Consider the following 22569-nt stretch of genomic DNA (forward strand, 5'->3'; position numbering starts at 1 on the left):
CCAAGAGAAAACCAACCCAAAGCTAGCAGAAGACAAGAAATAACCAAAATCAGAGATGAACTGAAGGAAATTGAGACATGAAAAAATATTCAAAAGATCAGTGAATCCATGAGTTAATTTTTTGAAAAAAATAATAAAACAGATACACCACTAGCTAGACTAATGAAGAAGAAAAGAGAGAAGATCTAAATAAACAAAACTAGAAACACCAAAGGGGGTAATCACTGACCCACAGAAATACATATAATCAACAAAGAATATTATGAACACCTCTATGCACATCAACTAGAAAAATCTAGAAGAAATGGATGAATTCCTGGACAGACACCCTCTCAAGACTGAGCCAGGAAGAAATTGAATCCCTGAACAGGCCAATAACAAGCTCTGAAATTGAATCACTAATAAATAGCCTACCAACCAAAAAAAGCCCAGGACCAGACAAATTCAGAGCCAAATTCTATCAGATGTACAAAGAAGAGCTGGTACCATTTCTATTGAAAGTATTCCAAAAAATGAGGAGGAGGGACTCCTCCCTAACTCATTGTATGAGGCCAGCATCACCCTGATACCAAAACCTGGCAGAGACACAACAAAAAAAGATAACTTCAGGCCAATATCCTTGATGAACATCGATGCAAAAATCCTCAACAAAATACTGGCAAACCAAATCCAGCAACACATCAAAAAGCTTATCCACCACAATCAAGTAGGTGTTATCCTTAGGATGCAAAACTGGTTCAACATACACAAATCAATAAATGTAACTCATCACATAAACAGAACTAAAGACAAAAGCCACATGATTATCTCAAAAGATGCAAAAAAGATTTTCAATAAAATCAACACAGCTTTATGTTAAAAACTGTCAATAAACTAGGTATTGAAGGAACAGATCTCAAAGTAATAAGAGCCATCTATGACAAACCCACAGCCAACATCATACTGAATGGGCAAAAGCTAGAAGCATTCCCCTTGAAAACTGGCACAAAACAAGGATGCCCTATCTCACCACTACTATTCAACATAGTATAGGAAGTTCTTGCCAGAGAAATCAGGCAAGAGAGAAAAATAAAAGGCATTTGAATAGGAAGAGTGGAAGTCAAACTATCCCTATTTGAAAATGACATAATCTTATATCTAGAAAACCCCATATTCTCAGCCCAGAAGCTCCTTAAGCTGATAAACAACTTCAGCAAAATATCAGGATATGAAATCAATGTACAAAAATCACTAGCATTCTTATACACAAACAACAGTCAAGCCAAGAGCCATATCAGAGCCATTCACAATCACTTCAAAAATAACATACCTAGGAACTCAGCTAACCAGGGAAGTGGCAGATCTCTACAAGGAGAACTACAAAATGCTGTTCAAAGAAATCGTAGATGACACAAACAAATGGAAAAACATTCTATGTTCATGGATAGGAAAAATCAATATTGTTTAAATGGCCACACTGCCCAAAGCAATCTATAAATTCAATGCTACTCCTATTAAACTACCAATGACATTCTTCACAGAACTGGAAAAAAAATTCATATAGAACCAAAAAAGAGCCTAAACTGCTAGGGCAATCCTAAGCAAAAAGAAAAAAGCAGAAGACATCATGCTACCTGACTTCAAACTATATTACAGGGCTACAGTAACCAAAACAGCATGGTACTGGTACAAAAAAACAGGCACATAGACCAATGGGAACCAAATAGAGAGTCCAGAAATAAGGCCACACACCTACAATTATCTGATCTTCGACTAAGCTGACAAAAACAAGCAAAGGGGAAAGGATTCCCTATTCAATAAGTGGTGCTGGAATAACTGGCTAACCATATGCAGAAGATTGAAACTGGACCTCTTCCTTACACCATACACAAAAAGTAACTCAAGATGGATTAAAGACTTAAATTTAAAACCCAAAACTATAAAAACTCTGGAAGACAACATAGGCAGTACCATCCTGAACATAGGAATGGGCAAAGATTTCATGACAAAGATAACAAAAGCAATTGCAACAAAAACAAAAAATTGACAAATGGGATCTAATTAAACGAAAGAGCTTCTGCACAGCAAAAGAAACTATCAACAGATAGACAACCTACAAAATGGGAGAAAACTTTTGCAAACTATGCATCTGAGAAAGGTCTAATAGCCAGCATCCGTATATTTGAATAAGGAACTTAAACAAATTTACAAGCAAAAAACAACCACACTAAAAAGTGGGCATAAAACATGAACAGACACTTTTCAAAAGAAGACATATATGCAGCCAACAATCATATAGAAAAAAAGCTCAACATTACCGATCATTAGAAAAATGTACATCAAAACCACAATGAGATACCATCTCACACCAGTCAGAATGGCTATTAATAAAAAGTCAAAAAAAATACAGATGCTGGTGAGGTTGTGGAGAAAAAGGAATGCTTATATACTGTTTAGTGGGAGTGTAAATTAGTTCAACCATTATGGAAAACAGTGTGGAGATTCCTCAAAGACTTAAAACAGAAATATCATTCCACTCAGCAAACTTATTACTGGGTATCTACCCAAAGGAATATAAATTGTTGTTCTATTATAAAGACACATGCATGTGTATGTCTATTGCAGCACTACTCACAACTACAAAGACATGGAATCAACCTAAATTCCCATCAATGGTAGACTGGATAAAGAAAATGTGGCGGCCAGGCACAGTGGCTCACACCTGTAACCCCAGCACTTTAGGAGGCCAAGGTGGGCGGATCACAAGGTCAAAAGAAGGAGAGCATCCGGCCAACATGGTGAAACCCCGTCTCTACTAAAATACAAAAATTAGCTGAGCATGGTGGTGTGCACCTGTAGTCCCAGCTGCTAAGGAGTCTGAGGCAGGAGAATCGCTTGAACCTGGGAGGTGGATGTTGCAGTGAGCCAAGATTGTGCCACTGCACTCCTGCCTGGCGACAGAACGAGACGCTGTCTCAAAAAAAAAAGAAAAAAGAAAGAAAGAAAATGTGGCACATATACACCATGGACTACTTTACACCCATATAAAAGAATAAGATGATGTCTTTTGCAGGATCATGGATGGAGCTGGAAGCCACTATTCTTAGCAAAGTAACAGAAGAACAAAAATACAAATACCACATGTTCTCACTTATAAGTGAGCTAAGTGACCAGAACACACAGACACATAGAGGGTAGTAACACACCCTGGGGCCTATCAGAGGGTGCAGGACAGGCAGAGGTAGAGGATCAGGAAAAATAACTAATGGGTGCTAGGCTTAATATCTAGTTGATGAAATAATATGTACAACAAAACCCCATGACAGAAGTTTACCTATATAACAATCCTGAACATGTACCCCTGAACTTAAAACAAAAGTTAAAAATACAGATAGATAGATAGATAGATGATAGATAGATAGATAGATAGATAGATAGATAGATAGATAGGTAGATAGATAGATAGAAGCTTAAAATCTGTGAGATATAGCTAAAGCTTTTCTTAAAGGTAATGTACAGTATGAAATGCTTCTATTAGAAAAGTTGTATGGCATTCACACTTCAAAGATATATGTTTCCCAGTAGTCATGCCTTTATGTAATCCCCTCCAACACTGAATTAGAGTTGACTGTGTGACCAACAGATTATAGCAGAAGTGAAAATGATTGACTTCCGAAGCTAGGTCATAAAAAAGCATGCAGCTTTCACTTTGGCCTCTTGAATTATTCACTCTTGGAAAAACAGCCACATGGTGATGAAATCACTCAAATATTAGAAAGACATGCAGAGAAACTTGCCAGCCACGTGAGTGTAGCACACTGCAAGTGGACCTTCCTGTCCCACTCGAGCCTTCAGACAACTGCAGCCCACCAGATATCTCACTGCAACTCCAAAAGAAACTCCAACAGAAATTTAGAATGTCCTAGCTGAGTCCCTTCTAAATTCCTTATTCACAGAACCCATGAACATCATAAATGGTTCTTTTACTCCATTCAGTTTTGAAGATGATTTGTTATGCAGCATTCGTAACTGGAATAAGAAGTGGATAAAATTATTGATCAAAGCTTTTGCATAAAAAACCTAAAAGAAGAAAGTCACCCACTTTTGGACAATAGTGGTTTGAGCAAGGTTCTTTTTGATTATCTATTTTCTTAAGCTCTCTGCTAAGTGGTCTGCCTTTGTTGGTGTTATATCCAGCTTTTAGCCTCCACTAAAAGAGACTATTTTTAAAATAGACTAACCAAAAATCTTATTTCTTTGAAAATTTTTTTTCTAAATGAAGGCAAAACAAAGACATTTCCAGAGGAAAAAAACAAAGATTTTGTTACTGGTAAACCTATCACACAAGAAGTATTAATAGAAGTAATGTTAAATAGTAAATAGTGGAAGTTTTTCGTAAATAGTAATGGAAGTAATAGTAAACAGTAAAGGAAGCTTTTCAGCCTAAAAGCAAATGACCCCTGTGTAATTTGAAATCATATAGAAAAACAGAGCACTGGTAAAGGTAATTATGTAATTACCAAAAAGAGTATACTTGTACAGTTCTCCTCTTAAGTGATTTATAGACATACGTATCAACAGAGCAGAATAAAAAACCCAGAAATATATCCACACAAATATACCAACTGATTTTTTACAAAGATACAAAAGCAATTCAATGGAGGAAAGAAATTCAAATGGTGCTGAACCAAGTAGACATCCATAGGCCAAAAGATAAACCTTGACTTCAGCCCACACATAATATAAAAAAAAATGGATCATAAACATATGTAAACGTAAAACTACAAAGCTTTTAGAAAAAACTGTAGAAAATCTTCAGGATTTTATACTGGATACCAAAAGCATAACCTGTTTTTTTAATAAAAAATTGGACCTCATCAAAATTTAATTTGCTCTGCAAAACATACCTATAAGAGGATAAAAAAGCAAGCTATAGAACGGAGTAAAACATTTGCAAACCACATATCTGGCAAAGAACTATTATTCTCTGCAATATATAAAGAATTCTCAAAACTCAACATTAAAAAAAATACTCCAATTAGAAATAGGCAAAAGACACAAAGAGACATTTCACTGAAGAGAATATAGATGGCAAATATGTACATGAAAAGATGTTCAAAAACATTAGCTGTCAGAGAAATTAACAGCTAATGGAAATTAACAGTCACAATGGAAACTACACACCTATTAGAATGATTCATAAAAAGTAGTGATGACCCCAAATGCTGAATATGTGGAGAAGCTGGATTGCTCACACATTGCTGGTAGAAATGTAAAATTGTACAGCCATTCTGGGAAATAATTTGGACATTACTTTAAAAATTAAACATGTAACAACCATACCATTCAGTAATTGAAATCTTGTTCATTTATTTCAGAGAAATGGAAACTTATGTTCACATAGACACCTGTACACTTATGTTCACAGAAGCTTTATTCATAATAGCCAGAAACTGGAAAAACCCAGATGTTTTTTAATAAGTGAATGATTAACAAGCAATGATACAGCCATACCATATTTGGTAGGCAGAATAATGGCCCCACAAAGATGTCCATGCCCTGTCTCCACAAACTGTGAATATGTTACCTTACATGGCAAAAGTAACTTTGTAGATGTGATTAAGGCTATAGGCTAGTAAGCCATGAAAGCACGTTCAACATCACTATTTATGAGACAGTACCTCATACACATTAGAATGGCTAAAATTTAAAGTACAAAATATGGATAAGAAATGTAGAGCAACTGGAATAGTCGTTCCTCATTACTGGTAGTGTAAAAGTGTACAACCACTTTGGAAAGGATTTTGGTAGATCTTTTTTTAAAGATAAATATACCCCTATCTTATGACCCGGCAATTCCACTTATAGATGTTTACCCAAAATAAATGAAGGCATGTGTTCACAAACAGACTTGAATAAGAATGTGCACAGCAGCCTTATCTAAAACAGCCAACCCTGGAAACAATTCTAATGTCCAGCAACAAATAAATGAATGAATTATGGTATGTTTATTCAATTGAATACTACTATAAATAGTGAACTCCTAGGATCACAGAACTGGTCTCTATGTTACTGTGGTGGGAGCTATGTGATTCTATGCATTTTTCAAAACTCATAGAACTGTACCTCACAAAGAATGAATTTTACCATATGCAAATTTTTAAAACTCAATCACGATGGTGGGAAGAAACCAAGATAGAATGCAGAGTGTAACAAGTGAACCTAACTTTATTACAAATGAATGGCATACACCAACCAGATGGGGTAGAGAGAAATGAGCTGACCTATCTTTCTTTAGAAGTGTTTTGACTATATATAATAAGGTTAGAGAGTAAAAATGTACACAAACACCATATTCTAGTTGGAAAATTCATTTTTCACAGAGGTTTGAGGTACCATTCTGAAATAATTTTCAGAATGTTTACTAGGGTTGAAAAATTTAGTAAATAAATTGCAGAGAATGAGAGCCAAGTTTCTCAGTGTCAGAAAAAGAAGTTACAAATAATCAAAGGGGAGTTGTTAGAATGAACCCTGTGGTGCTGCTGGATTCGAGTCAGGGATATCAGTGCGATCTCATGTTCATCCAAATGTGTGTATGTATGTACTAGAATCTGTATATCTATCTGTAGGTATATCTTTGTATATACAAATAGACATATACAGAAATAAAAATAGGTTTATGTGTACACATGTGTTAGTAGACATACATACATTTCCTAGCTCTGTTGTCTGACAGAGCCTGGAGGTAGTGCCACTCCAGCAGCAAGACACACATTGGGTACCCAGATTTTGGTTTCAAAATACCATCCTCCCATATAAGAAACCAGGATTCCTTGGATTAATGGTCAATTCTGGGACTTGAACAGGAAAAATACAACTTGCACTACATGAGCCTAGAGCATAGTGTGGTGCCAGAGAGAAAATAAGTGATTTAAAAAATGAAAAGGTAAAGGCCACCTGAAAGAAATGCCAATGGTCAATGCAGAAACAATTTGAGCAACCAAATGAATAAAACTTTTGATGATAACCCAAAGAATGAAATATAAATAGCCATGAGAGTTAATACTGATATAAATATTTGAAGAAATAGTTGGGGATGAAGGGACAACCCTTTATTATGGAAGAATTCTAATTAATAAATGAGGCAGAAATGAGAAAAATAGGAAATGATCATTAGAACACTGTAATAATCATTGCTAAAGGCAAAATTCACTGATGAATGCTAAAATTAATGGGCCAAGCTTTCTATCCCTTTTTGTTTTTTTTTAATTTATTTATTTATTATTATTATACTTTAAGTTTTAGGGTACATGTGCACAATGTGCAGGTTAGTTACATATGTATACATGTGCCATGCTGGTGCGCTGCACCCACTACCTCGTCATCCAGCATTAGGTATATCTCCCAATGCCATCCCTCCCCTCTCCCCCAACCCCTCAACAGTCCCCAGAGTTTGATGTACCCCTTCCTGTGTCCATGTGTTCTCTTTGTTCAATTCCCACCTACGAGTGAGAATATGCGGTGTTTGGTTTTTTGTTCTTGCGAGAGTTTACTGAGAATGATGATTTCCAATTTCATCCATGTCCCTACAAAGGACATGAACTCATCATTTTTTATGGCTGCATAGTATTCCATGGTGTATATGTGCCACATTTTCTTAATCCAGTCTATCATTGTTGGACATTTGGGTTGGTTCCAAGTCTTTGCTATTGTGAATAATGCCACAATAAACATACGTGTGCGTGTGTCTTTATAGCAGCATGATTTATAGTCCTTTGGGTATATACCCAGTAATGGGATGGCTGGGTCAAATGGTATTTCTAGTTCTAGATCCCTGAGGAATCGCCAAAGTGACTTCCACAATGGTTGAACTAGTTTACATTCCCACCAACAGTGTAAAAGTGTTCCTATTTCTCCACATCCTCTACAGCACCTGTTGTTTCCTGACTTTTTCATGATTGCCATTCTAACAGGTGTGAGATGGTATCTCATTGTGGTTTTGATTTGCATTTCTCTGATGGCCAGTGATGGTGAGCATTTTTTCATGTGTTTTTTTGGCTGCATAAATGTCTTCTTTTGAGAAGTGTCTGTTCATGTCCTTCGCCCACTTTTTGATGGGGTTGTTTGTTTTTTTCTTGTAAATTTGTTTGAGTTCATTGTAGATTCTGGATATTAGCCCTTTGTCAGATGAGTAGGTTGCGAAAAGTTTCTCCCATTTTGTAGGTTGCCTGTTCGCTCTGATGGTAGTTTCTTTTGCTGTGCAGAAGCTCTTTAGTTTAATTAGATCCCATTTGTCAATTTTGTCTTTTGTTGCCATTGCTTTTGGTGTTTTAGACATGAAGTCCTTGCCCATGCCTATGTCCTGAATGGTAATGCCTATGTTTTCTTCTAGGGTTTTTAGGGTTTTAGCTCTAACGTTTAAGTCTTTAATCCATCTTGAATTGATTTTTGTATAAGGTGTAAGGAAGGGATCCAGTTTCAGCTTTCTACATATGGCTAGCCAGTTTTCCCAGCACCATTTATTAAATAGGGAATTCTTTCCCCATTGCTTGTTTTTCTCAGGTTTGTCAAAGATCAGATAGTTGTAGGTATGCGGCGTTATTTCTGAGGGCTCTGTTCTGTTCCATTGATCTATATCTCTGTTTTGGAACCAGTACCATGCTGTTTTGGTTACTGTAGCCTTGTAGTACAGTTTGAAGTCAGGTAGTGTGATGCCTCCAGCTTTGTTCTTTTGGCTTAGGATTGACTTGGCAATGCGGGCTCTTTTTTGGTTCCATATGAACTTTAAAGTAGTTTTTTCCAATTCTGTGAAGAAAGTCATTGGTAGCTTGATGGGGATGGCATTGAATCTGTAAATTACCTTGGGCAGTATGGCCATTTTCACGATATTGATTCTTCCTACCCATGAGCATGGAATGTTCTTCCATTTGTTTGTATCCTCTTTTATTTCATTGAGCAGTGGTTTGTAGTTCTCCTTGAAGAGGTCCTTCACATCCCTTGTAAGGTGGATTCCTAGGTATTTTATTCTCTTTGAAGCAATTGTGAATGGGAGTTCACTCATGATTTGGCTCTCTGTTTGTCTGTTGTTGGTGTATAAAAATGCTTGTGATTTTTGTACATTGATTTTGTATCCTGAGACTTTGCTGAAGTTGCTTATCAGCTTAAGGAGATTTTGGGCTGAGACGATGGGGTTTTCTAGATATACAATCATGTCATCTGCAAATAGGGACAATTTGACTTCCTCTTTTCCTAACTGAATACCCTTTATTTCCTTCTCCTGCCTAATTGCCCTGGCTAGAACTTCCAACACTATGTTGAATAGGAGTGGTGAGAGAGGGCATCCCTGTCTTGTGCCAGTTTTCAAAGGGAATGCTTCCAGTTTTTGCCCATTCAGTATGATATTGGCTATGGGTTTGTCATAGATAGCTCTTATTATTTTGAAATACAGCCCATCAATACCTAATTTATTGAGAGTTTTTAGCATGAAGGGTTGTTGAATTTTGTCAAAGGCCTTTTCTGCATCTATTGAGATAACCATGTGGTTTTTGTCTTTGGTTCTGTTTATATGATGGATTACATTTATTGATTTGCATATATTGAAACAGCCTTGCATCCCAGGGATGAAGCCCACTTGATCATGGTGGATAAGCTTTTTGATGTGCTGCTGGATTTGGTTTGCCAGTATTTTATTGAGGATTTTTGCATCAATGTTCATCAAGGATATTGGTCTAAAATTCTCTTTTTTGGTTGTGTCTCTGACTGGCTTTGGTATCAGGATGATGCTGGCCTCATAAAATGAGTTAGAGAGGATTCCCTCTTTTTCTATTGATTGGAATAGTTTCAGAAGGAATGGTACCAGTTCCTCCTTGTACCTCTGGTAGAATTCGGCTGTGAATCCGTCTGGTGCTGGACTCTTTTTGGTTGGTAAGCTATTGATTATTGCCACAATTTCAGATCCTGTTATTGGTGTATTCAGAGATTCAACTTCTTCCTGGTTTAGTCTTGGGAGGGTGTATGTGTCAAGGAATTTATCCATTTCTTCTAGATTTTCTAGTTTATTTGCATAGAGGTGTTTGTAGTATTCTCTGATGGTAGTTCGTATTTCTGTGGGATTGGTGGTGATATCCCCTTTATCATTTTTCATTGCGTCTATTTGATTCTTCTCTCTTTTTTTCTTTGTTAGTCTTGCTAGCAGTCTATCAATTTTGTTGATCCTTTCAAAAAACCAGCTCCTGGATTCATTAATTTTTTGAAGGGTTTTTTTGTCTCTATTTCCTTCAGTTCTGCTCTGATTTTAGTTATTTCTTGCCTTCTGCTAGCTTTTGAATGTGTTTGCTCTTGCTTTTCTAGTTCTTTTCATTGTGATGTTAGGGTGTCAATTTTAGATCTTTCCTGCCTTCTCTTGTGGGCATTTAGTGCTATAAATTTCCCTCTACACACTGCTTTGAATGCGTCCCAGAGATTCTGGTATGTTGTGTCTTTGTTCTCATTGGTTTCAAAGAACATCTTTATTTCTGCCTTCATTTCGTCATGTACCCAGTAGTCATTCAGGAGCAGGTTGTTCAGTTTCCGTGTAGTTGAGCGGTTTTGAGTGAGATTCTTAATCCTGAGTTCTAGTTTGATTGCACTGTGGTCTGAGATATAGTTTGTTATAATTTCTGTTCTTTTACATATGCTGAGGAGAGCTTTACTTCCAAGTATGTGGTCAATTTTGGAATAGGTGTGGTGTGGTGCTGAAAAAAATGCATATGCTGTTGATTTGGGGTGGAGAGTTCTGTAGATGTCTATTAGGTCCACTTGGTGGAGAGCTGAGTTCAATTCCTGGGTATCCTTGTTGACTTTCTGTCTCGTTGATCTGTCTACTGTTGACAGTGGGGTGTTAAAGTCTCCCATTATTAATGTGTGGGAGTCCAAGTCTCTTTGTAGGTCACTCAGGACTTGCTTTATGAATCTGGGTGCTCCTGTATTGGGTGCATATATATTTAGGATAGTTAGCTCTTCTTGTTGAATTGATCCCTTTACCATTATGTAATGGCCTTCTTTGTCTCTTTTGATCTTTGTTGGTTAAAAGTCTGTTTTATCAGAGACTAGGATTGCAACCCCTGCCTTTTTTTGTTTTCCATTTGCTTGGTAGCTCTTCCTCCATCCTTTTATTTAGAGCCTATGTGCATCTCTGCCCGTGAGATGGGTTTCCTGAATACAGCACACTGATGGGTCTTGACTCTTTATCCAATTTGCCAGTCTGTGTCTTTTAATTGGAGAATTTAGTCCATTTACATTTAAAGTTAATATTGTTATGTGTGAATTTGATCCTGTCATTATGATGTTAGCTGGTTATTTTGCTCATTAGTTGATGTAGTTTCTTCCTAGTCTCGATGGTCTTTACATTTTGGCATCATTTTGCAGTGGCTGGTATCGGTTGTTCTTTCCAAGTTTAGTGCTTCCTTCAGGAGCTCTTTTAGTGCAGGCCTAGTGGTGACAAAATCTTTCAGCATTTGCTTGTCTGTAAAGTATTTTATTTCTCCTTCACTTATGAAGCTCAGTTAGGCTGGATATGAAATTCTGGGTTGAAAATTCTTTTCTTTAACAATGTTGAATATTGGCCCCCACTCTCTTCTGGCTTGTAGAGTTTCTGCCGAGAGATCTGCTGTTAGTCTGATGGGCTACCCTTTGAGGGTAACCCGACCTTTCTCTCTGGCTTCCCTTAACATTTTTTCCTTCATTTCAACTTTGGTGAATCCGACAATTATGTGTCTTGGAGTTGCTCTTCTCGAGGAGTATCTTTGTGGTGTTCTCTGTATTTCCTGAATCTGAATGTTGGCCTGCCTTGCTAGATTGGGGAAGTTCTCCTGGATAGTATCCTGCAGAGTGTTTTCCAACTTGGTTCCATTCTCCCCATCACTTTCAGGTACACCAATCAGAGGTAGATTTGGTCTTTTCACATAGTCCCATATTTCTTGGAGGCTTTGTTCATTTCTTTTTATTCTTTTTTCTCTAAACTTCCCTTCTGGCTTCATTTCATTCATTTCATCTTCCATCGCTGATACCCTTTCTTCCAGTTGATTGCATCGGCTCCTGAGGCTTCTGCATTCTTCACGTAGTTCTCGAGCCTTGGTTTTCAGCTCCATCAGCTCCTTTAAGCACTTCTCTGTATTGGTTATTCTAGTTATACATTCTTCTAATTTTTTTTCAAAGTTTTCAACTTCTTTGCCTTTGGTTTGAATGTCCTCCCGTAGCTCGGAGTAATTTGATCGTCTGAAGCCTTCTTCTCTCAACTCGTCAAAGTCATTCTCCGTCCAGCTTTGTTCCGTTGCTGGTGAGGAACTGCGTTCCTTCAGAGGAGGAGAGGTGCTCTGCTTTTTAGAGTTTCCAGTTTTTCTGCTCTGTTTTTTCCCCATCTTTGTGGTTTTATGTACTTTTGGTCTTTGATGATGGTGATGTACAGATGGGTTTTTGGTGTGGATGTCCTTTCTGTTTGTTAGTTTTCCTTCTAACAGACAGGACCCTCAGCTGCAGGTCTGTTGGAGTACCCGGCCATGTGAGGTTTCAGTGTGCCCCTGCTGGGGGGTGCCTCCCAGTTAGGCTGCTCGGGGGTCAGCGGTCAGGGACCCACTTGAGGAGGCAGTCTGCCCATTCTCAGATCTCCAGCTGCATGCTGGGAGAACCACTGCTCTCTTCAACGCTGTCAGACAGGGACATTTAAGTCTGCAGAGTGTACTGCTGTCTCTTTGTTTTTCTGTGCCCTGCCCCCAGAGGTGGAGCCTACAGAGGCAGGCAGGCCTCCTTGAGCTCTGGTGGGCTCCACCCAGTTCGAACTTCCCGGCTGCTTTGTTTACCTAAGCAAGCCTGGGCAATGGCGGGTGCCCCTCCCCCGGCCTCCATGCCGACTTGCAGTTTGAGCTCAGACTGCTGTGCTAGCAATCAGTGAGACTCCGTGGACATAGGACCCTCCAAGCCAGGTGCGGGATATAATCTCCTGGTGCGCCATTTTTTAAGCCTGTCGGAAAAGTGCAGTATTCGGGTGGGAGTGACCCGATTTTCCAGGTACCGTCTGTCACCCCTTTCTTTGACTAGGAAAGGGATCCCTTGTGCTTCCCGAGTGAGGCAATGCCTCGCCCTGCTTTGGCTCGCGCACGGTGCACACATCCACTGATCTGTCCCCACTGTCTGGCACTCCCTAGTGAGATGAACCCGGTACCTCAGATGGAAATGCAGAAATCACCCCTCTTCTGCGTCGCTCTCGCTGGGAGCTGTAGACCAGAGCTGTTCCTATTCGGCCATCTTGGCTCCTCCTCTTTTTTGTTTTTTTTTTAAACATACAAAATGGTTTACTTGAATTCAGGAATTGCCCCTATTACTAAGAACTGTTTTAAAGAAACAGTACAAAAAGAAAAATTCTAACCCAAACAACTCAAATGGTTTTCCACTAAATACTGATACAAACATGTAACAAAGAATATAAAAAGTTATTCATTTAAATATATACAAACTGTTTTAAACTCAAATACTGTTTTAATACTTATCGAGGATATATAGGACGAGGTGAAGGAAGGTACGTTGAAAGAGAATATATTGCAACAGCCTAGACAGTACTGTTAACTCTATTATACGGCAAATTTTTGTAACAAAAATGTCTTTTTTATTCCAGTGTGGACAGGGATTTTCCTCATGGAGCATCTGTGGCTATTTCTCGGCTGAGCTCAACCTTTTGGATTTGATGAAGGCCATGCCGTGTGTCCGTATTTAAGGCAGCTTCAGTTTCAAAAGTTTTTGTGCACACTTTGCACTTTCTGTCTGACACGGTGCCATCAGGGGATTATCCTCATGGCTGGGTTTGTTCTCCTGTTGGTTATCTTCCCCAGCCCCATTTTGCTTGGACACTGGCTGAGGTTCCTTTAACTTGTGTACGATGAAGAGGTGCCTGGACAGAGAGACATGAGATGTGTAACAGAGGCCACACTCCCGGTGCTGGTATGAAGAACCATCCGATTTGTGCTGAGGGATGTGTTCGTGGAACTGCAGCAGGTTTTCGGTGGTGAAGCCACACATGGCACACTTGTGAACCTTAAAAACATTGATTTTCAGCTTTTTCAGTGGTTGAGTGATTGCTCCTTGGGGAGGCCTGAACTCCAGAACTGGTTCTTCCAACTTCTGCTTGGGACTGGGGACCTTGGTTGTCTTCTTTTATTTCTGTTTCCTCCTCATGGGTGGCATCTGTCATTTCTTTCAGGTCAGGGTCCTTGATACCATGCATCAGCTGAACGTGCTTCTCCAGCATCAATCGTTTGGTAAAGGTACGTCTGGAGTCTGGGCCTTGCCTGATGCCTTTGTGCTTGATCCGGTTGTGCCAGCACAGGCTGTGGGACAAACTAAAAGACTTGTCACACTGGCGGCAGGGGTGTTTCTTCATTTGCTTCCCGTGCTCATTCCTCATGTGGGATATGTACACATCTCTCTGCATGAACAGGCGGTCACACTCCCAACACGTCCACCCAGGACTGGCCACTTTCTTATTTTCCATTGATTTTTTTTCACAGGAGATGGAGATTTATTTTCCAATTTCTCTTTCCCATTCATGGATTTGGTGTCCCCTTTGTTCTGATTGGCTGAATTTTGAGTTGCAGGCTTAATGCTCAAAGGCAAGTTTATACCCAAGTTTGGAGGCCCTTCAATACTTTCCAATGTTCCATGCATAGACTTGATATGGTCCATCATAAGTTGCTTCTGTGCATATAAAAGAGAACAGTCTGGACACTTGAAAACAGACACCCTCTGGTTTTCAATGTGTTTGTCAAAGTGGTGATACAGCAAGGTTTGCAAGGTGAACACAGTGTCACACATAGATCACTTACATATTATTTTTGGTTCTCCTGTCTTCAAGAGAAACAGCTTATCTGCATAGCCTCAAATTATCTCCCCAGAAATATTTATTAATTACTGTAGTAGTTTTAATGTATGTCTAAAAATTCTTTAATACTCCTCTCTTCAGAGGTGCAGAGGGGAAGCTTAATTTCCCTCACCTTGAGTGTGGACTAAACTTAATGACGTGCTTCTAAAATAGAATATGAAAACAGAGAAAATAATAACTGGCTGGGCATGGTGGCTCACACCTGTAATCCCAGCACTTTGAGAAGCCATGGCAGGTGGATTACCTGAAGTCAGGAGTTCGAAACCAGCCTGGCCAACATGATGAAACCCTGTCTGTAGTGAAAATACAAAAATTTTCCAGGCATGGTGGTGCATGCCTGTAATCCCAGCTACCGGGGAGGCTGAGGCAGGAGAATCACTTGAACCCGGGAGGTAGAGGTTGTGGTGAGTAGCGATCACACCACTGTACTCCAGCCAGGGTGACAGAGTGAGACTATGTCTCAAAAAAAAAAAAAAACAAAACAAAACAAAACAAAAAAAATAACCGTACAGTGAAGAAACCTGACAGATGCCACCTAAACAACTGATAAAAATTAACATAATCCATAATAAAACACATTGACATTATGTGCCCTCAATGTCATGTCACATACCTCTCTGGTACTTTTCCCAAAAATCTGTAACTTCAGCCTAGTCATGAGAAATCATCATAAGAAGCCTAATGGAGTGGCATTTTACAAAAATACCTAATGGCTGCTCTTCGAAAGTGTCAAGATCATGAAAGCTAAGGAAAGACTGAGAAACTGTCATAGACTGAAGGAAACTATGGAAACATGATAATTAAACACAATATAATATCCTGGCTTGAACCCTGACACAGGTTTCAAAAAGCTCATTGGTGGAAAAAATAGAGATATGTGAATAAAGTCTATGGTTTTGCTAGTGATATTTTATAAACATTTAATTCTTAGTTTTGATCACTGTATCAATTATGTAAGATGTTAACACAAGGGAAAGCTGGATATAGGTTATGTAAGAACTCTGTAATATTATGCCACTTTTCTATAGGTCTAAACATTTCAAAATAAAAAGTTATAAATATAAATTACATAAACTTACCATTGATTAAAAGTAGGAGAAGGTAATAAACTACTGACATATGCAAAAACATGGATGGATCTCAAAAACATTTCCAGAGACAAAAAGAGTGCATGCTGTATAATTCTATTTATATGTACTTCTAGAACAGGCAAAATCAATGGTGATAGAAATCTCATCAGTGAGTGTCCCTGGATAGGAAGGGACTGACTGAAAAGTCTGCGTTCATGGAAATATTCCATATCTTAATTGGAGTGGTGGTTACATGAGTGTTTACATTTGTAAAATCTCATGGAACTATACACTTTAAAAGTTGTATTTATTATATGTGAATTCTACCTCAATCAAGTTGCTTTTTAACAAATCATGGGGTGGAAAAATGAATAAAAAAGAAGTACTTATAAAATATATGAAGCATAAATTAAATAGCACTAACTTGGTCAAGAACAGGCTTGGTTTTGTTTAAAGCTTTGAAAATAACCATAACCCCCAAATTGACCCTAACCTTCTGAAAACTGAAACTGGGAAATGTTCTAAATTTCCAGGAAACAAGGGTGAGAGCAGGCTGTTCCCACACCTCCAGCTACTTCTGGCCTCCATGTATATTTGAGATTAATTTACAACTATTAAAGCACACTAATAAATGATCAGAACTTATGGCACCATGCAAGGCTCGCTTTGAAGTTCAGCCAATTTCCTTCCTCTGCTTGGAAGCACTTGAGGCCAAAAAACTGCTGTGTTGTCCAAAGAGCTGGTTATGCTGACCTGAAATCAGACTGGGCACTGTATCCAAAGAGTTAATCCAAGCACACCCTGGTGTCGCCATCATCCACACCTCCATCCCCAAACAAAGATCTGCAGGGGGGCTGCCAAGTCCAGTAAGCCATTGACAGGGAAAATCTAGATGAGAGGAAAAAAAAATGGAGAGAAGATGTGGAAAAAGTTGACTTTGAAACCTCTTCCTTGGATCATTAGCAATGAAAGAGTAGGGAGATGGGGAAGAGATTAATCTGACTTGGAGAAAAGAGTCTGAATTTAGGTGTCAGAGAGGTCAGAAATCTAGAAAATGAACTCTCGGGAAACCTATTTAAACCCTCTGGGCTTCAATTTCCTCACCTGAAAAAAAAAATAATGAGCGCATTCATGACATAAGGCAAATCTTCCTTTGAGTGGCCCTCCCTTGAGTTCTGTTGAGTATGAAGCATTTAAGGAAAAGGCTGGGTTTTTCATGTCTCCCAATCCAGTGATTGGACTTAGATGGGTTTGATCGTCACATGTTTCTCTGATTGGCAACTTCCCTTTTTGTTTGTACTGTTCAGCCCACTGATTCTCAAAGGATGGACTCTGTACGCCACCCTGCATCATACCTCCTAGAAATTAATTTTAAAAGACAAATTTTAGGAGCCCCACCACCGCCTCACCCGAGACTCCCAGAAGAATCTCTAGGGATGAGAACAGAGAAATGTGCTTTTTAAAAAGATATTGTTTTTATTTTGGAATAATCACAAACACAGAAAAGCTGCAAACACAGTTCAAAGACTTTTTTTATAAAGCCTTTAGGATTCAGAAGCAAGCATGATGCTTTAACTTCCCAAATGTGCATATCCTACAAGCAAGGACATTCTCCTGTAACCACAAGGCAACCATCAGAATCAGGAAGTTAGGCCTGGCGCGGTGGCTCATGCCTGTTATTCCAGCACTTTGGGAGGCCAAGACAGGCAGATTGCTTGAGCTCAGGAGTTTGAGACCAGCCTGGGCAACATGGTGAAACTCCTACTCTACCAAAAACAAAAAATACAAAATTTAGGCAGGCTTGGTGGCATGTGCCTGTAGTCTCAGCTACTCAGAAGGCTGAGGTGGCAGCATCATCGCTTGAGCCCAGGAAGTCAAGGCTGCAGTGAGCCATGATTGCACCACTGCACTCCAGCCTGGGCAACAGAGCCAGACCCTGTCTTAAAAAAATAAAAAAAAATCAGGAAGTTAAGACTGACATAGTCCTACCATTAATCTTCAGGTCTTTTTCAACTTTCACCAACTGTCTCATTCATATAAAAAGAAATCACATATTGCATTTAGTTATCAAGTTTCTTGAGACTTTTTCAGTGTGAAACAGTTTGCTTTTTCTTGACTTTCATGACCTCAATTCTTTTGGAAGTTACAGGCAAGTTATCTTGTGGAATATTTTTTAATTTAGGTTTGTATAGTGATGTTTCTTCATGATTAGATTCAACCTATCCACCCTTGACAGAAGTATCACGAAAGCATTGCCGAACTTTTCAATGCCTTTTATTAGGGGGCACATGATTTCAATTTGTCCCGCTACTGATGATGTTAATTGTATCACTTAATTGAGATGGTGTCACCTAGGCTTCTCCACTATTAAGTTATTCTTTTTCCTTTCAAATTAATAAGTATTTTGAAGAAAAGAGGTTTAAGACTATGTAAATATCCCATTACACCCCAAATTTTCCATTTATTCATATATTTATGTCTATATCAAATCTAGTTTTTTACTTTACTCATGTACACATTATCACCTATTTATACTAATGTATATATTACCACCTATTACTGTCATCCCCACTTCCCACTAAAAAGCCCTTCAAACTGGCTGTGGTGTTTCTTCGATGAGTCTCCATTATTGTTTGAGCATTCCTTTGCTTCCTGGAGAATGTTCTAGGTTCATGTTACATTTTCCCTGCTCTAGACCTGGAATCAGCCATTTCCTCAAGGATCCCTGGCTCATTTTAGTGGAAAACAATATTTAGAAGCCAAGATGTGGGTGCTAAGCATGTTTCCTGCTACTGGAATGTCTCAGTGGACAGAGATGGGGAATGTGTGTGTGTGTGTGTGTGTGTGTGTGTGTGTGTGTGTGTATACATGTATACCTATACACATGCATTCCTATATTTATTTATATATCTCTATATATTGAAAACCATACCGGGCACAGTGGCTCACACCTGTAATACCAGTACTTTGGGAGGCTGAGGCGGGTGGATCACCTGAAGTCAGGAGTTCGAGACCAGCCTGGCCAACATGGTGAAACCCCATCTCTACTAAAAATACAAAAATTAGACAGGTGTGGCGGCACATGCCTGTAACCCCAACTACTCAGGAGGCTGAGGTCACTTGAACCCAGGAGGCAGAGGTTGCAGTGAGCTGAGATCATGCCATTGCACTCCAGCCTGGGCGACAAGAGTGAAACTCTGTCTCAAAAAAATAAATAAATAAATAAAAAAGCAAACTGGCCAGGCACAGTGGCTCCTGCCTGTAATTCCAGCACTTTGGGAGGCTGAGGCAGGCAGATCACCTGAGGTCAGGAGATCGAGACCAGCTTAGCCAACAGGGTGAAACACCCTCTCTACTAAAAATACAAAAATTACCCAGGCATGGTGGCAGGCACCTCTAATCCCAGCTACTTGGGAGGCTGAGGCAGGAGAATCGCTTGAACCCAGGAGGCAGAGGTTGCAGTGAGCCAAGATCATGCCATTGCACTCGAGGCTGGGTGACAAGAGAGAGACTCCATCTCAAAAAAAAAAAAAAAAAGAAAGAAAGAAAGAAAAAGGAAAAAAAACCATAAGGTCACAATATACTTCCAATTCCAATTCAATACCATCAAATTAATTCGAGTATTCTTTCTTTCCATGTTTGTAACTCCTTTCTCCAACAGGGAAATCTGGCTCTCTTATCTTTAATGTATTTACTTACATGAGCAATCCCACTTTCTGTGCCAAATCTCTCCTCTTCTACACCACCCCCTCCCCCGTATAGAATGCCCCCCACCCACTCAGGCATCAACACTCAATTCAGGGTCATTTCCCCATGCAAACATCCTCCTCATCCCACTTGGTTTCTGACTTCCCATGCCAGGTGCCCTCATCCAAGCAGATGTTCTCCTCCCCCCGATTCTGCCCTAGATCACCCATCTGGGGATGCTCTCCCCATTCTGCCCCATGCATAGACATCTTCTTCAACACAGTCAGGCCCAACACTCTGCCTCTCTTGCATGGATGCCCTCTTCACCTTGCCTAAGCTTTGGGGATCACACTTCGACAAAAGCTTCATTAAGATTTCAGTGCCCAGCTTGAGTTAAACTTTTTCACGTAAAATCAACTCAAACAGAGCTCCTGAGCTATGTGAATGTCAACTGTAAAATATTGTGATGAAGGCTGATGAATCAGCTCTCATTTTCTGACCAATTCATGAAGATCTCTGCTTTCTTCTTCCATTAGAGAATCCTGGCCGCTCAGGAAAATAGGACATGAAATTTACATTTCAATTTGCAATTCCATTAAAGTAATAACAGCAGCCAAGGGGCACTTTATTGCTACCTTTGCCACATTATCAGTGGCCTGAGACCAAGCTTCCAAGTGCATTTTTTGATATGATGCCTGTAGAAAAGATACAGAATTCTTAGTATTCTTTTGTTATGGGGTATGGAAATCAACTTTACATAGATCCTGTGTGTTCTTGGTTCATAAGTGGCAGTCCTGCATATGGAAATAAGAGTAGCGTCTGCCTGTCTCTCGCTCACGTAGCCACTCCTAGGTACCACGACAACCAGAGATATTGTCTAAAGATTTCACCAGACCTGTGATAAGCAGCAAAGAAGGCAAGAAGCAGGGGAGAGAGAGAGGCATAAAGCGAGATGACGGAAGCAGTAGAAACACGATGACTGCAGATGAAACATGTAACCATCTGTTGGCCCACTCTGCAAGCAATTCTTCTCTCATCAGCAGCTTAGGCATTCCATTCCTAATTGCTCTTTCTCAATAGCACACAGCATGTCCAAGCCTCTTCCAGCTCTAAAAATCTGTCCCTTTAACATATACAGTCCTTTCTTCATCACCCTTTATCTCTGACTCTCTTCACAGCCAAGCTACTTTTAAAAAGAGCATTTGATACTGACTGTTTTCACTTTCTCACCTCCTTTCACTTTGCTCAGTTTTGAGCCAGCTTCTTCCCTCGCCATTTCTGAAGTTGCCATTGCCAAAATCAGCTATGATCATTCTGTTGCTAATTCCAACAGACAAATATTTATCAATCTCTACATATTAGCCTTTTCAACATTATTTGGCTCTGCATACCATTTCCTCCTTCTTTAGACTCTTGCTGCAATAGGTTTCTAGAGCATCACTCCCTCCTGGTTTTTCTTCTACCTCTATGGCTGCTCCTTTTTAGTTGCCTCCACTTTTATCTCCCATCCCCAGTCAAGGTGTTCACAAAAGTTCAATCCTCTGTCCCCTGGGTGATCACATGCACTCACTCTCCTGCCTTTATCACAGACAGTGAACCCAGATCTATATCTCCTTCCTGGAGCTCACTCCCAAAACCCAGTTCTCTAGATAAAACTGTCAATGTGCATCCCTGTTGCATCTCAGAGTGTTGGAGTGTTCATCTCAAACCCAACATGTCAGAAATTGAACTCTTTAGCTACAAACACAAAATCTATGCCTACTATATCACTTGCCTTTTTTCGGAGCACCATCAATGTAGAAACCAGGCCAGAAACCTAGAAGTCTTTCTGGACTCATCATTGTCCCTCACCTTTCACACCAAGTCCCACTGAGGCTGCCTCCTAAACATCATTTCACTCTCTCATGCATTTCTGCTGCCACTGACATAATTCAAACACTCAACTTCTCTGAATCTAGTGACTGAAATAGCCTCCAGACAAACACCAAACATGTCCTTTTTCCATCAATGTGGACTTTCTTTTTTGTTTTGTTTTGTTGTTTTTGTTTTGAGATGTAGTTTCACTCTTGTTGCGCAGGCTGGAGTGCAATGGAGTGATCGCAGCTCACTGCCACCTCCGCCTCCTGGGTTCAAGCGATTCTCCTGCCTCAGCCTCCTGAGTAGCTGGAATTATAGGCACCCGCCACCATACCTGGCTAATTTTTTTGTGTTTTTTAGTAGAGATGGGGTTTTGCCATGTTGGCCAGGCTGGTCTGGAACAACTGACCTCAGGTGATCTGCCCACCTCGGCCTCCCAAAGTGCTGGGATAACAGGCATAAGCCACCACACCTGGCCTCTTTTCTTTTTCTTTTTTTGGTCTGTCCCCCAGGCTGTAGTGAAGTGGCACAATCATGGATCACTGCAGCCTTGACCTCTTGAGTTCAAGTGATCCTCCCATCTCAGCCTCCTGAGTGGCTGGGACCACAGGCACACACCACCGCATCCAGATTGTTCTTGTATTTTTTGTAGATATAGGGTCTCACCAAGTTGCCTAGGCCGGTTTTGAACCCCTGGGTTCAAGCTATTCACTTCCCTCAGCCTCCCAAATACTTGGGATTACAGACATGAGCCACCGTGCCTGATCCAGCTTGGGCTTTCTAAACTTCAAATTATTCTAATCCTCAGCTTAAACTTCTCAAAAACTTCCTATTGCCTGCAGAATAAATTCCCAAACCCTTAGCAGAATGTTCAAGGCCCTTTATGATCTGGTAGCAAACTAATTCTCAAGCTTCATCCTTTAAGACTCCCTACCTTGTATGCAATGAGTTGGTCCCTCTAACATTTTCCTGTCATCCCAGCAATCCATGATTAATATGAGTTCCTGCCTTTGGACATGCAGTCTCCTTAGTTGAGAAATCATACCTCACTACACCCCCTTCTAACTA

General features: G+C 39.7%; 1 pseudogene; it reads right to left on the bottom strand.

Annotated features, from left to right (window-relative positions):
* Positions 1–13365: 13365 nt before the first annotated feature.
* LOC392264 (zinc finger protein 532 pseudogene) lies at positions 13366–14839 on the bottom strand (annotated as a pseudogene).

The sequence above is a fragment of the Homo sapiens genome, chromosome 8 (genome assembly GCF_000001405.40).
Source record: "Homo sapiens chromosome 8, GRCh38.p14 Primary Assembly".
Taxonomy (NCBI): Eukaryota; Metazoa; Chordata; class Mammalia; order Primates; family Hominidae; genus Homo; species Homo sapiens.